Genomic DNA, 15,655 nt, shown 5'->3' on the forward strand with positions numbered 1-15,655 from the left:
TTTAGTCCTTGAAAGAGTCTTTGTGCTGCAATATCTTCAGGACAGAAGAAAACACACGTGTATTTGTGTGTGTGTGTGTGTGTATGCCTGTGTGTGTATGCGTGTGTGTGTGTGTGAGAGAGAAAAAGGTAGCGGCATGGAAATCAGGCAACATTTTATGAATTTAGTCCTTGAAAGAGTCTCTGAGCTGCAATGTCTTCAGATAGAAGAAAACGTGTGTGTGTGCGTGTGTGTATAAATATGTCCATGTGTGCATGTGTGAGTATGTGTGTGTGTGTGTGAGAGAGAGAGAGAGAAAGAAAATATATATTATTTATACAGTGTGTGTGAGAGAGAGGACTTAGCTAAATATTCAAAAATTGGCAACCTTCTCTTCTTCTAGCTAGAGTCACTTCACTATTCATTGTTTGTGAAGAATAAACTTTCCTCATTAGGAATGCCAGTTTGACAAACACTGTAATAGTGAGAAAACACCTAAGACTAAAGAATGAAACTAGGGTAGGCTGGCCATTAAGCATACCTCAAAACACTACACTTTTATTTATAGTAAGCATCTTTAGTGTACATTATTATTAAAAATTATTTTACATAAGGGGGTTCAGTTGATTTTAATTTTATTTGTAAGCATGTGATTTACTACCAAAGCATAATGTATTTATCCTATTACTGGGTGAAAAAATTTACTGAAGTTTGAGAGTATCTAAAGTGGCAAATAGAAATTAACTAAGCATCCAGGGTATGAGATTCCTTATAAAACAAGTGGACTTGCTGTACATTGTTCATACAGTCTTTAAAACCACCTGAAAATTTCTTTATCATTTTCTTTTTTTTTTTTTTTTTTGAGACGGAGTCTCGCTCTGTCGCCCAGGCTGGAGTGCAGTGGCGCGATCTCGGCTCACTGCAAGCTCCGCCTCCCAGGTTCACGCCATTCTCCTGCCTCAGCCTCCCGAGTAGCTGGGACTACAGGCGCCCGCTACCACGCCCGGCTAATTTTTTTGTATTTTTAGTAGAGACGGGGTTTCACCGTGTTAGCCAGGATGGTCTCGATCTCCTGACCTCGTGATCCGCCCGCCTCGGCCTCCCAAAGTGCTGGGATTACAGGCGTGAGCCACCGCGCCCGGCCTCTTTATCATTTTCTATCAAAACAAAATAAAAATACTCATCTTAGAGAAAACATCAAAAGCTATGTCTGATTTCTTAAAATTATATCAGTAATTCTAAATATCTCTAAGCTTTCTAAAATTCATTACAGTGTCAAATATGATAAAAACCCTTCTTGATGCCAGTGAGAGATGACATCACGAAAATATTTTAATTTACATGAGACAGCTTGTTAAATCGATATTAACAAAACTAATCTTCCTAAATAAAGACCTAATGACATATAGTAAGCACAGTAATAATAACAGAAAGATTTTATTTAATTTCTTTATAAAATTTGTAGAATAGAATTCCATCTGTAATTAATAATATCATTTTATTCAATTGCACTAATCAAGCTACAGTTTAATATGGAACAAATTTAATTATGCCACAAGCACCCCCTAAAGCTTTAGCAGATTGCCTAGGAATGTAAAATAGTGCAATGAAAATTCTTTTTAAAAATATTTCAATTATATTTCAATGAGAAAAGATTGCTTTTTACTAATGACATTTAATATATACATATACCCTTTCCATAGCTTTCTGGGATTCTTTAAACATCTGTTACAGGATTTATCACTGGACATATCTCCAAAATCAAAGACATTCTGAAATTATGAAAATGCATTATACTGATAGCATTCATGTTTGAAGAAATACTTACTTCATAATTAAACCTAATCTATCAACCATTCCTATCAAATTAGTCCTAATCATTTAAAAATTCAGCATTTCACAACTAAATGAATATCACAAATCTGTAGGAGTATTTATGCAATGGTATTTTTATCATCTTATGTTGATGACCCAGGTTTTCATACTTAGAAAACATCAGCATGTAAATGACATTTAAACAATGAAAGGGATGAGATTGCTTCAGAGACATAGTAAATACATCAGAGAATATGGCCCAGGAAAGATTCTGGAGACATTCCACAACGTAAAGCATCTTAAACATGCTTTAGCTATAGGTGAATGGCTCTGAAACAACAATAGCAATAACAAAAACTGTTTTTTTGTGCCTTCTCTTTACTCTTCTCATTTTTCCCTCCTAGTTCCTTCTCTAAATCTATAAAAATACCTTGTACTTACGACCATATTAGGATACATATATAGTCTAAATACATGGGAAATAGGTCTATTGAAACTTTCTCTGTATATAGAGCTAGCCAGAGTGAATAGAAACAGCAAAAAATTTGAAATGCTTGGGAAAATAGTCTTTGTATGTTGCATGAATCAGAACAATTCTCCTTTCTACTTGCTTCATTAACTTGAATTAATGAGGAAGATAAGTTAACTGCATATTTCATAGTTTTAACTCATTAGTTAGATAAAGTGTGTCACTTTTTCTATCCCTGTTTGCTAGAGTTACATGGCAACCCAGGAGTAGTATGAGGATGATTTTGGAACTGCAGGCACTGGTCTAGTCATAGGCGATAATGTTTCTTATGCATATTGCAGCACGTGTTCAATTAGTCAGTTTCACAGCCAAAAAAGAAAGTATAGAATGGGAAAAGAGAAAGTTGTGCTCTCCTAGGACCCAGAGTGAAGTGGCCAAGAGTAAAAACAGTCTAGGGAAACTTTGCAATTTCCCATAAGAAGGATCAAATCCACACAGAGAAAAAAGCAGGAGAGAGAATTCTTACTAGAATTAAAGGAGAATGGCAAAAAGAAGTCATAATAATTATGTTAATATAATAACTGGAAAGAAAAGTCTTCCAGAAGACTTGAGAGAGAAGACTTGAGAGTGGACAATAAGAAAGCCTGTCCTTATCAATATTTATACAATATATAAATTAAAAGATATAGGAAATTTTTTCACTCTAGGCCATTGGCATAATGCCAAAGTAAAAAAGCAAAACATGTTTTTTAGGATGGAATATGATGAATTTCAAAAATTCAAATGTCTGATAGTACAATTTAAAACATTAAATATATACACAAAAATTAGTAATACTTTATCTAAATTACCGATTTTCTTTTTACCATTTCCATTATTGTATCATCTTAATTTATTTTCTGTTGCAATCATTTATCACTTTTTATTATAAATGAATAATCAGAACTTCTCTTACATTATGAAAGCAAAGACAAATTATGCAAAAGACTCTTATGATATTCTGGCAGCTTTTGTGACAGATTAATCTTTTTACACTTTATCTGCCCAGTTATGTGTACAGTCACATGCAAAGCTGTAACAATGAGGGATTGAATAAATTTAATTATCTTCTAAGACTCATAGACTCAAAAAAGTAAGAAAAACATGATTAAGTAGCAAATAATATTGGTACCATGATTATCTGTATTCTAGACATATCTCAAATGTATAATGTAATATTTAGAAAAATGCATTTGACAAAATACTTTCCTCTTCAATTGAATTGGCTGTTTTAACAGGCACTGTTCATCAGTTGGAATGGACTGTTCTGGCATATGCCTCCAAGTTGGCCATTTCCACTGTGACTCCGCACACAAGTGGTCAGTTGTAATTGAGGGCATTGGGAGCTGTCCTTTAGGATAGTAATATGAGTGTTAAGAAATTCAAACTTTACTACCCCTAACTTTCTCCCATTTTTTTTCTCTCTCCTTTTTTTAACAATAATATGTAAACCCTGTAAACGTCTTCAGAAATCACCTAACTTCTCAACCTGTGCATGTTGACATAGGCATATCATGTATATGCCTAAACAAGTTATGTAGAGATGAGATCAGAAAAGTTCAGTTACTTTTTTGATCTCAAGAAAAGATCAAAGGTCTTATAGAATTACCCGAGATCCTATAGAATGTTGTATTCCATAGAACATTGTAGTCCATAGAAGGATTTAAATATTATTATATTAATATTTCAAGCAGGACAATGCTACAGGAGTGCCTGGAAAAAGAAATTACATAATCTATCCTATATTTTAAAAGGTCACTCTGGCTGCTATGTGAGGGAAAGAATACAGAGAGATAATAGTGGAAAACAATTTTGTAAGCAATTGAAGTAGTATAGGTTTGAAGGGATGATACCTTAGAATAGGGTGATATTAGTGTAAACAGTAAAAAGTAAAAAAATAAAAATAAAAAATATTAAAAACATACAGTATGTAACATGTGTATAATATATATAACTATAAAATGAAAAATGTCAAAATCAATACATATAGAATCAAAATATGCTGCAACTACCTAACAGACCCAGTATAGTGACCAGTCTGATCATCTCCCTGCTTTTGAATCACCTATTGCATTGACATATAGTGATTACAGCCCAATCTTTAAAGAAGATAAGAAAGTCAAAATATAAATACGTTTCTATTTTATCAGATAAAAATTTGTAGTGGAATTTCTTTTCCATTTTTCTTTTAGAGGCTCAGATATTAGAACTCCCATTTCTAATTTTATTACTTATAATTTATGTGCTAATATATCGAGCATCTATTTCTTCACCAGCTTCATAGATCTTAAATTATTTATAGAGTAAAAAATTATTTGACAGTTAAGACTTAAAATATCTAGCAATCACATTTTTTGCTCTCTGAAATAAAAAAGAAAAGCACAATTATAGTGAATATTTTCTTTTAAATAATTCATTAAATGCTTTTCAATTTATAGAAATAATGTACTATTAAAGATAGTATCTTCCTTTCTTGATTAAGAGCTCCTTGAGGGCAGGAAGCTATGCCACTAATGTCAGACAATGTCAAATGTTGAAGCAAAATAGTTAAAATTCAAAGAAATGAAAAGACATTTTAGATCAATTTCTCTGCAAAGAAAACTCTGAGATGAGGATTTACGTACAGGAAGATAATTGAAGAGCACTCATATAATCAACATTTTCAGAGATTAAAGTTGAACTATAATGCCTTCTCAAAAAATGCTTTGGTCAATCCTACCAAGAGCTCTGGAATTGAGATGGACCCTTCTAAATTGTTTCTCATTTGGTCAAGAGATTTGGGTCTTTGGGGCAGGGAGCTGGGCCTAGTCAATCACCCCACATTGACTAGGCACGAGATTCAGGTTGCCCCTTTGAAAGCATAATGACCTTGGGAGAAACAACTTTCTACATATAAAAGCAAGTCCAAGAAAGGGATGCAGCTGGGAGCTGTGGACCACCAACATCCCCAGGATAATGAGTGCTTCAACCCACTAAGAGGGTATGTGGGTTGCTCACCACGACATGCCCATCCCTTAAGTCACTCAGATGTATGTGATTCATTGACATTATGGAGATTGCTTCTTCAGGATTATATTGGGCCTTGTTTCCAGGCAGAAAGTTTTAAGTGATAGATTAATATGATAACCTATAGCCCTTGACTCTGTAACTTTCTTCGATGGCATAACCAAATATCATCACCAGCACTTCTCTCATTCATTCTAGATTCTCCATATAATTGATTATTGTATATGCTCATTAGGCAGAGGACTTCATCCTTTCTGGAGTTGAAGTTACTGCATTTTTCATTTACAGTCAAAATTGAACAAAGGAATATCAAGTAATAGCAAAATAAATGGCCTAGTTTTCCAATTTATTCTTTCATACCCTCCCTATTAGGTAACAAAGCCTTACCTCCTCCCAATGAGCAGAGCCAATTCACTCTGACAGGATTTAACTCTTTTTCTATCTGTTGATCTCTAAGCATGCAGAGAACAATGTGACTGGGATGTTATCATATCTAGAAGTTTAATGGGGATTTTTCTGTGTTATCAAATAAAAACATTTCTCCTCTAGGGAATAGAACCATTAACTACTAAGAGCCCAGAGGTGAAGAGATGAAGGACATATTTTCTAAGTAGATAACCGGAAATCAAGATAAACAGGGTCACTGCTAATTTCACTTCTTTGTTCTCAGACTAATTTTATTTACCAAATGAAGACACTTTATTATATGATGGTGATTGAAATGGTAATTGATCTATGGTATCTGTGGGGTTTTTTCTCCTCAAGCTAACATTTCAACTGTACCTTCAACAGGTTATGCCTTTACTCTATCAAACTTGCAGCTTCTGTGTAGTATGATACAGTGGATGGTGCAATGGATGGCACAGTTAATGATAACTGCCACCTCTTTGCTGTCACATTTGTCCCTTCGTCTTATATAATGTCAGTAGATCAAATACTCCCTAAGTTTCTGTATATCTACCTCAGAAATTTCAATCAGGAAAGGCAACTCCATATCAAAATATGTGTTTATCCAGTAATGATAAAATATCTCCTGAGACCTCTTTCCTTTGCATGCAAATTGCTACCTTCTTGCTGTTTGCTCACATGACCTTTTTTTCTGTGCCCATACATCCCTGGTGTCTCTTTCTCTTACTATAAGGACACCAGTCATATTGGATTAGGGCACCACCAAAGCAGCCTCATTTTAACTTAATCACTCTTTAAGGATCTTACTTTCAAATACAGTTATATTCTGAGGTGGCATGGATTTGTACTTTAATGTATGAATTTTAGAGGAATATAATTTAGTTCATAGCACCATTGTTTAGTGTGGAAGGCCACATTTCCTTCCACACTAATTAGATGAACAGGTATAAAACAAGCCTGTCTACCACTTTTCCTCACTGCTCTCTTTTGGGTCACCATTAAATTGTGCCATAGCACAGCAATCAGTCACTTTAAGCTTGCACCCACATATTGAACTGATACTTTGAATCAAACTTATACTTCTTCCTCTTTTATCAGCTGGTATTCCACTGGCCATAGGTGTGAGCTGAAGAAGAGGCTATGATAAAACACTTGAAGATGACATGAGAATGTGGCTATCTGTTCAAACAGCTTGAATTTACCCTCTAGCCCTGCTTTATCTTGATACCAGATTTTGATCTAATTTATGATGGATTGCTGTTGGGTCCACCCAACTTATATTTTGATGGGTCTGACACCATCTGATTTGTGATGGGTAGCAACAGCTACATAATCACTTGATGTTCCATGTCCAGAGAAACATTCCTAACTAATTTTTCAGATATTTACCTGTCATTTTGCTCTTAGATAATGTAATTTTATGTTTTCTTGTATTCGTTATGCTTGTCACTATTCCTTTAAAAACATTCCATCAATTGAAACAGGCCTAGTTCTGTGAAGTTAATTCATCTTTTAAACATGCTACAAGAAGCCAGGAATTTATTTTGCTTTAATCTAGAAAGAGTTTATAACATTATTCATGTTACTTTAAAAATAAAAGTAATAATATGATTTTCATCTTTTATAATTTTGACTTTTATTTTTGGTACGGGGGCACATGTACAGGTTTGTTACATGGGTATATAACGTGATGCTGAGGTTTGGGGTATGAAAAGTTACTCTCTAAGTTGATGAGTCTACATATGTCATGACTTTGTTTTATGACTGATTACTTGTTATAGTATGGGAAAATGACAAGGATCCACTTAAATTATTAAGTTACAAGAGAACTGACTATTGGCATGAATGCAAAGCTGAATCAACCTCAGGTTGATTCATTAGACTAAGAAGTTAAAAATCTTGATATAAGGAAATAAATGAAACAGCTGCTTGGTGTTGACTTATGACTTTGTTGTAAATAGCTGAAGAGATGTTGTTGTCTTGGGATATTAGTATTTCATCTTTAACCGGAAATATCAATGCATTTATCCGTTGGAACAAGTTCACAGCCATGGAATTTAAAATCTAGAGTACCACCTGTGAATACATATATTCCCAATGAGGAGCATGTATCCTACCTAAGACTTTTATCATTTGAATGTATTTACCTGATTATACTGCATCAGGGCCTGCCTTAAGCAGGGTAATGACAGTTCAGATTGGCTGAGTAATGGAGGAGGCTGGATAAAAATTGCCAACAACAACAAGATCGGATTGAATTCAGTTAACAAGAAAAAAGTCTTAAAATAAAATAAAGTGTGCTTCATACTTGAACGAAATTCATCTCTACTCTTTCAGAAAAGAGTAATTTGTCACTGAGAATGAAGAAATGCTCATCTCGACCAGTAGTAGATGCTCCCTGAATGCTCATAACCAATTGGTGGTGTCTGCCTACTGTCTAGCCAAGTTTCCTGGTAACTTTAAAAGGTTAATATCTTATTGAAAACAATAGCAAAGACAACACTTAGCATAAATCAGCTAAATTATAATTTAGGAAAATAAAATAAAAACAAAATAAAGGAAAAGATATGTAGTAGATTTGGAGAGATATGTTCCCAGTTACAGAAACTTTATTTCAAAACCATTTAATTTTTTTAATTTGCATTTTTCTGATGATTAGTTATGTTAAACATTTTTTTCATATAACTTTTGGTCATTTGTATGTATTTTTCTTCAATTTTATATTTTTTAGGATTTTTTAATTGTTACATAATAGATGTACATATTTATGGGGTACATGTATTTTTTGGTACATGCATAAATTGTGTAGTGATCAAATCAGAATAATTGGGATATCCATCACCTCAAACAGTTATAATTTCTTTGGGTTGGGAATTTCCATATCTTCTTTTTTAGTTATTTTTAAATATACTATAAATTCTTGTAAACTATAGTTGCCCTACTCAGCTTTTAATCATTAGAATTTATTACTTCTATTTAACTGTATTTTTGTACACATAAACCATTTTATCTTCATGTCCCCCCAATCTTCCCAGCCCCTTTTAACCACTATTCTGCTCACTATCTTCTTGAGATCAAATTTGTTAAGCTCCCACATATATGTGAAAAAATGTAATATTTGTCTGTCTGTGCCTGGCTTATTTCGTGCAACATAATGACTTCCAGCTCTATCCATGTTGGTGCAAATGACAGGATTTCACTCTTTTTCATGCTTGAATAATATTCTATTGTGTATTTTTTTTAATCCATTCATCCATTGATGGACACTTAAGCTGATTCCATATCTTGGATACTGTGAATAGTGCTGCAATAAACAAAACATTTAACTATTTGACAAAATATTAACAATCAGAATATATAAGGAACTCAAACAACTCAATAGGACAAAAAAATCTAATTTAAAAATAGGCAAAAGATGTGAACAGACATTTTTCAACAGAAGACATATGAATGTGTAACAGGTATATGAAAAAATGCTCAACGTAACTAATCAGGAAGATACAAATTGAAATCACAATGAGATATCACTTCACCCCAGTTAAAATGGCTACTATAAAAATGACAGAAAATAAATGCTGGCAAATATGTGGAGAAAGGGGAACACTCATACAATCTTGGTGGGGATGTAAATTAGTGCAAAAGTATTTCGTTTAAAATTTAGGATCAAATTAATGCCATTTAAAATTATATACTTTCATAACTATAAAAATATAATTACTGCTTGCTCTCACATTGCAATATTCTTTTGAAAATCAGTAGCTGCAAAGGAACGTGATTTTCACCATTTACCCTTATCTAAGTCTAGATTTCTCCTAAGCTAGTCAAGAAATAATTTTAAAAGAGCTGAATCCTTGTGGATACATGAAAGAAAGGCCAGTTATACTGAAAAAGAGATTTGGAAATCTATGAGCAGAAGCTGACAATGACACTTTCACAGATAATGAAAGAAAAAGACAAAGAAAATGTCTTCAGAGGAAGGAAACTGTTCTTGGTTTAGTTTTCATCATATTGTCCATAATACTTCTGGAAATATGCAGTATTTAACATGAAAATTCAACTAATTGGTATATGCAGTTAAGGAGAGCATTATTGGTATATGCAATTAAGGAGAGCAAGAAAAATTTAAAAACATATGACCTTCAGTTTCACTTTCCTGATGGACACAGTAGTTAATATTATATTTCTCATATTTTAATACATATCATTTAAATGTGTTCTTTTTATTTATAGTTGAATACTTTTCTGACAGTATACATCTACTGTGCATTCAAAGATTTCATACCTTTAGAGGGCCTCATTATTTAAAATAATCTCTTAATTATGTTTTGTATATGAGACATGCATCCAACAAGATTTATCTTTGTAACTGTTTTATAACATTTTACAAAATAATAAGAAAGTGCTTAAAATGGCTAATAATTATCTTAGTTACTATTTGATAGACAAAAGGCCATATTGACAGGAATAAATTGATCTGGGTAACAGCCACATATGAAAGCTAAAAATATTTGCTAATCAGTTCAAACAAAGGTGTCTGAATTCAGCAGGTAGATTGCAGTCTTCATGTATAATGAAAGGAAGTGGAAGTTTTCAAAGATAGTAACATGAAAGTTAACTAACAATGGAAAACTTCAAGCTATGTTCTTGTGGAAGAATATGAAAGTTTAGAAAAAGAAAAATTCAAAAGTAATAAACTAAATAGCACCTAGTACAGCTACCCATAAGCAAAACTTTCTAATATAAAAGTGTATTAAATTATACTCAGGTATTTTAAAAATATTTATTGCAGGAAACAAGAAAATTAAAATTTATTATATATTTTCATTTTTAAGAATGTATTTTGATGGATTAAATCTGAAACAAAAAGTGGCCTAAAAGAGTTAATTTAGAAATTATGAACAGTTATTTACAGTGACATAGAAGGTGTTTAAACATCATTGTAAAGAGTAAAGACTAGAATATATTTTGCAAAAAAAAAAGTAGCTTTCATGAAGCTTGAAATCTATAAAACAATGAAGAAAGTAAAAAATATCTTAAAGAGATGAAAACACATTGTATTTGAATCAACAATAAAACACACCAAATACAGTGTACCAAATGAGGAACAGAGGAAAGACAATACATTTCTAAAGATAGAAAGAGAAATCCAGCCCCATCAAAAAGTGGGCGAAGGACATGAACAGACACTTCTCAAAAGAAGACATTTATGCAGCCAAAAAACACATGAAAAAATGCTCATCATCACTGGCCATCAGAGAAATGCAAATCAAAACCACAATGAGATACCATCTCACACCAGTTAGAATGGCAATCATTCAAAAGTCAGGAAACAACAGGTGCTGGAGAGGATGTGGAGAAATAGGAACACTTTTACACTGTTGGTGGGACTGTAAACTAGTTCAACCATTGTGGAAGTCAGTGTGGCGATTCCTCAGGGATCTAGAACTGAAAATACCATTTGACCCAGCCATCCCATTACTAGGTATATACCCAAAGGACTATAAATCATGCTGCTATAAAGACACATGCACACGTATGTTTATTGCGGCATTATTCACAATAGCAAAGACTTGGAACCAACCCAAATGTCCAACAATGATAGACTGGATTAAGAAAATGTGGCACATATACACCGTGGAATACTATGCAGCCATAAAAAATGATGAGTTCATGTCCTTTGTAGGGACATGGATGAAATTGGAAATCATTCTCAGTAAACTATCACAAGAACAAAAAACCAAACACTGCATATTCTCACTCATATGTGGGAATTGAACAATGAGATCACATGGACACAGGAAGGGGAATATCACACTCTGGGGACTCTTGTGGGGTGGGGGGATGGGGGAGGGATAGCATTGGGAGATATACCTAATGCTAGATGACGAGTTAGTGGGTGCAGCGCACCAGTATGTCACATGTATACATATGTAACTAACCTGCACAATGTGCACATGTACCCTAAAACTTAAAAGTATAATAATAATAAAAAAATTAAATAAAAGAAAAAAAAAAAGAAAGAGAAATCCAGAGCATGAATAATTGACAGTCTTAAAAAAAGGCATAACATGATGAACAAAAGTAATATTAAATATTATTATTATAAAGAAATTGGAGGACAATCAAAAAAGTAATATACAGAAAAACATCTGACTCATATATTATATTTCAAATTTAAACTTAATTAACAAATAATTGGTAAAAAACCCAGCAAACATAAGGATAAAATAATTCAACCTGGTATTGTACTGTGGTTTCACAAATTGAGATACAAGAAGCTAGTGAATTTGTGGAGTTTTAACTTGGAAATTCTGTGCTTATCCACATTATTTTGTTCATTTATATGGAACCCAGAAATAGCTTTTTCAGATATTTAAATAAACATAAAACTTTCATACAAACAGACGCATATGACATATATTTTTTCTTTAAAGTGTTGAACATATATACTGGTAAACATAAATTGGTTGGATCATATCTACATACTAACAACTATATACATAAAACAATAAAATATTGTAATTCTTTAAAAATACGAGATCAACATAAAAACTATCAATTTCAATCTAAAATATGTATCAGCAATTTCAATTAAATAGCCATAATAACTGAAATTTTAAAAACCAGAAACATCTCAATAGAATTACTGAATAGCAGAAAACATTCTCATCAATGTATTAGATGTGAATAAGAGTGTTGAATAGAAGTGTTGAGAGTTGGCATTCTTCTTTTGTTTCTGATCTTATAGGAAAATATTTCAGTTTTTCACTGTTTGGTATGATGTTTATGGTGGATTTGTAATATATATGGCCTTTATCATGCTTTGGTACATTTCCTCTGTATCTAGTTTGTTGAGCATTTTTATCATGGTGTTGAGTTTTGGCAAATGCTGTTTCTCCATTTGACAGATGATCATGTAATATTTGAGGTGACCATGTGATTTTTATTCTTCATTCCGTTAATGTGGTATGTCACATTTAGTTACTTGTGTGTGTAGAAGCCTTCTCGTATCCAAGGGATAAATTCTCCTTCGTCCTAGAGCATGATTTTATAAATGTTCTGTTCAATTGACATTGCCAATAAAATAAATCCAAATCAGAATGGAAGAGGTAAAACAATCTCTGTTTGCAGATGACATGATCCTATATACGGAAAACTTTAATGTTTCCACACACAAAGCCTTAAAATACACCAATCCTGTAAAATTAATATACAAAAATTAGTCATGTTTCTGTAATCTAACAATAAATTATCTGAAAAAAGTTAAGGTAACATCCATTTCCAATAGCATAAAAATGAATAAAATAGGAATAATTTAACCAAAGAGGTGAAGATTAGACCTTGATAACTATAAAAGAGATGAAATAAAGGAGACACTATAAATGGAAAGATATCCTGTGTTCATGGATTAGAAGACTTAATGTTCTTAAAATGTCCATATTACTCAAAGTCATCTAAAGATTCAATGTTATTCCATCAAAATCCCAATGACCTTTTTTAACAGAAATAGAAAAAAAAAATCCTAAAATTTATATGAAACCACAAAACATTCAGAATGGCCAATGCAACCCCAAGAAAGATAAACAAAGTTGGAGGCAACACACTTTGCTATTTCAAAATATGTTACAAAGCTACATTAATTAAAACATTATGGCACTGGCATAAAGACAAACATAAATAAATGGAACAACATAAAGAACCCAGAAATAATTCATTCATATACAGTCAACTGATCTTTGACAAGGGTGCCAAGAATAAATAATGATAAAGGAATAGGCTATTCAACAAAGGCTAGGACAACTACATATCTACATGAGAAAGAATAAAATTGGACTCTTTACCTTACATTATATAAAAAGATCAACTCAAAATAGATAAAAACTTGAATTTAAGACTTAACAACTATAAAACTCCTAGAGGAAAACTGTAAAAAGCTTCATGACATTGGTCTTGGCAATAATAATTTCTGGGATTTGATACTGAAGGCATAAGCAGCAAAAACAAAAATACACAAGTGAGACTAGAACAAACTGAAAAGCTTCCGCACAGAAACAGAAAGCTGCCACACAGAACAAATGAAAGGTAATCTACTGAATAGCAGAAAATATTTGCAAACCATATATCCAAAAAAGAGTTAACATCCAAAATATATAAGCAACTCCTACAACTCAAAGCAAAATATTAAATAACCTAAATAGAAATATGTAAAGACCTTGAAGAAATATTTCTTTGAAGAAGACATACAAATGGCCAGCAGATATGTGTAAACATATTGAATATTGTTAATGATCAGGGAACTTGCAAATCAAAACTATAAGAAGATAACACCTTACACCTATTAGTACAGTCATTGTAATATCAAAAACCTTAAATGTTTCCAAAAATGTGGAGAAATTGGGACACATACACTGTTAGTGGAAAAGTACCTTAGAAGATTGTACAGCAGCTATGGAAAGGAATATAGCTGTTTATCAGAAAAATAAAAATAAAACAACCATGATACAACAATCTCACTGTTGGGTGTATATCTAAAACCACTGAACTCAGGATCTTGAAGAGTTATCTGCACTCTCATGTTCATTGCAACATTACTCACAATTGCCAAGATATAATATGGAAACAAGCCAAATGCCATCAGTAGATGAATGGATAAAGATAATGTGTCACATGCATACAATCGAATATCAATCGCTCCTTAAAAAGAAGGAATCCTAACATTTGAGACAATGTGGAAGAATATGGATGACAGTATGCTAAGTAAAATAAGGCAATTACAGAAGGGCAAACTGCATGATCTCATTTATATAAGGTATTTTAAATAGTCAAACTTATAACAGCAAAAAATATAATACTGGTTGTCAAAGGCTGGGGATTGGGGAAAATGCAGAGTTGTTCTTGGAAGTTGTGATCTATGGGTATAAAGTTTTAGTTATGTTAGATGAATATGTTCTAGAGATCTGCAGTACAACATAGTACCTATAGTTAATAAGATGGTTTTGTGCACTTCAAAATTGTTGAGTAGATCTCTTGTTAAGTTTTCTTAACACACATAAAACCTCAAACAAAACACCCACAAACCCAATAATAATAAATAAAAAGGAGCACAGGTAAACTTCAGGAGTTGTTGAATGTGTCTGTTTATTACTTTGATTGTGGTGATGCTATCATGGCATTTGCATATATCTAAACTCACCAAACTGTGCATATTAAATATGTGAAATTTTTAAATATCTATTACACCTCAATAAAGCTGTTTAAGGATAAGATTCTGTTACAATAAAAATAGTGAAATGAGCTATGTCCAATAATTTCCCCAAAAGCCAGAGCAAAGAACAAAAAAAATGACCAGAAGCATTATGCATTAATGATTAAGAACATAACCTCTACCGTTTACTAACTTAGTGATCTTGGATTAGTCACTTAACCTTTTTGTGTCTCTGCATTCTCATCTCTAAGAGAGAGATAATTATTCTACTACTTTATCAGGTTTTTTTAGTGTAAGTATAAGGTTTTTTACTAAAAATAAACAGAAAATATCTTAGTAGTCATAAGAATCCAGAAACTATTATCAATTAATTATAAAATAAAGCATAAAAATCTGGACTTTAGAATAAAATAAATGGAATTTAAAATCACGTAAATTACATTTTAATAATTAATATATCAAATAGAGGAATTAGATCACTTATCAAACGAAAAATAAAAATTCTCCGAAGACCATTTTTCCAGGATCAAGAAAAATTAACTACAATTATAATAATAAACCCCCAAAGCATCAGAACTTTAAACCTTCAGTTTGGAAAGGCTTATTGACTGCCAAATCATAATATTGTTTTAAAAATCTATATATTCCTTAGGAAAGTAAGTCATGACACATACATACAATGGAATAATGAACAGCATGACACAAGTCTGAGTGATTTGAGGGAAGAAATATTC

The sequence above is a fragment of the Homo sapiens genome, chromosome 5, assembly GCF_000001405.40.
Source record: "Homo sapiens chromosome 5, GRCh38.p14 Primary Assembly".
Lineage (NCBI taxonomy): Eukaryota > Metazoa > Chordata > Mammalia > Primates > Hominidae > Homo > Homo sapiens.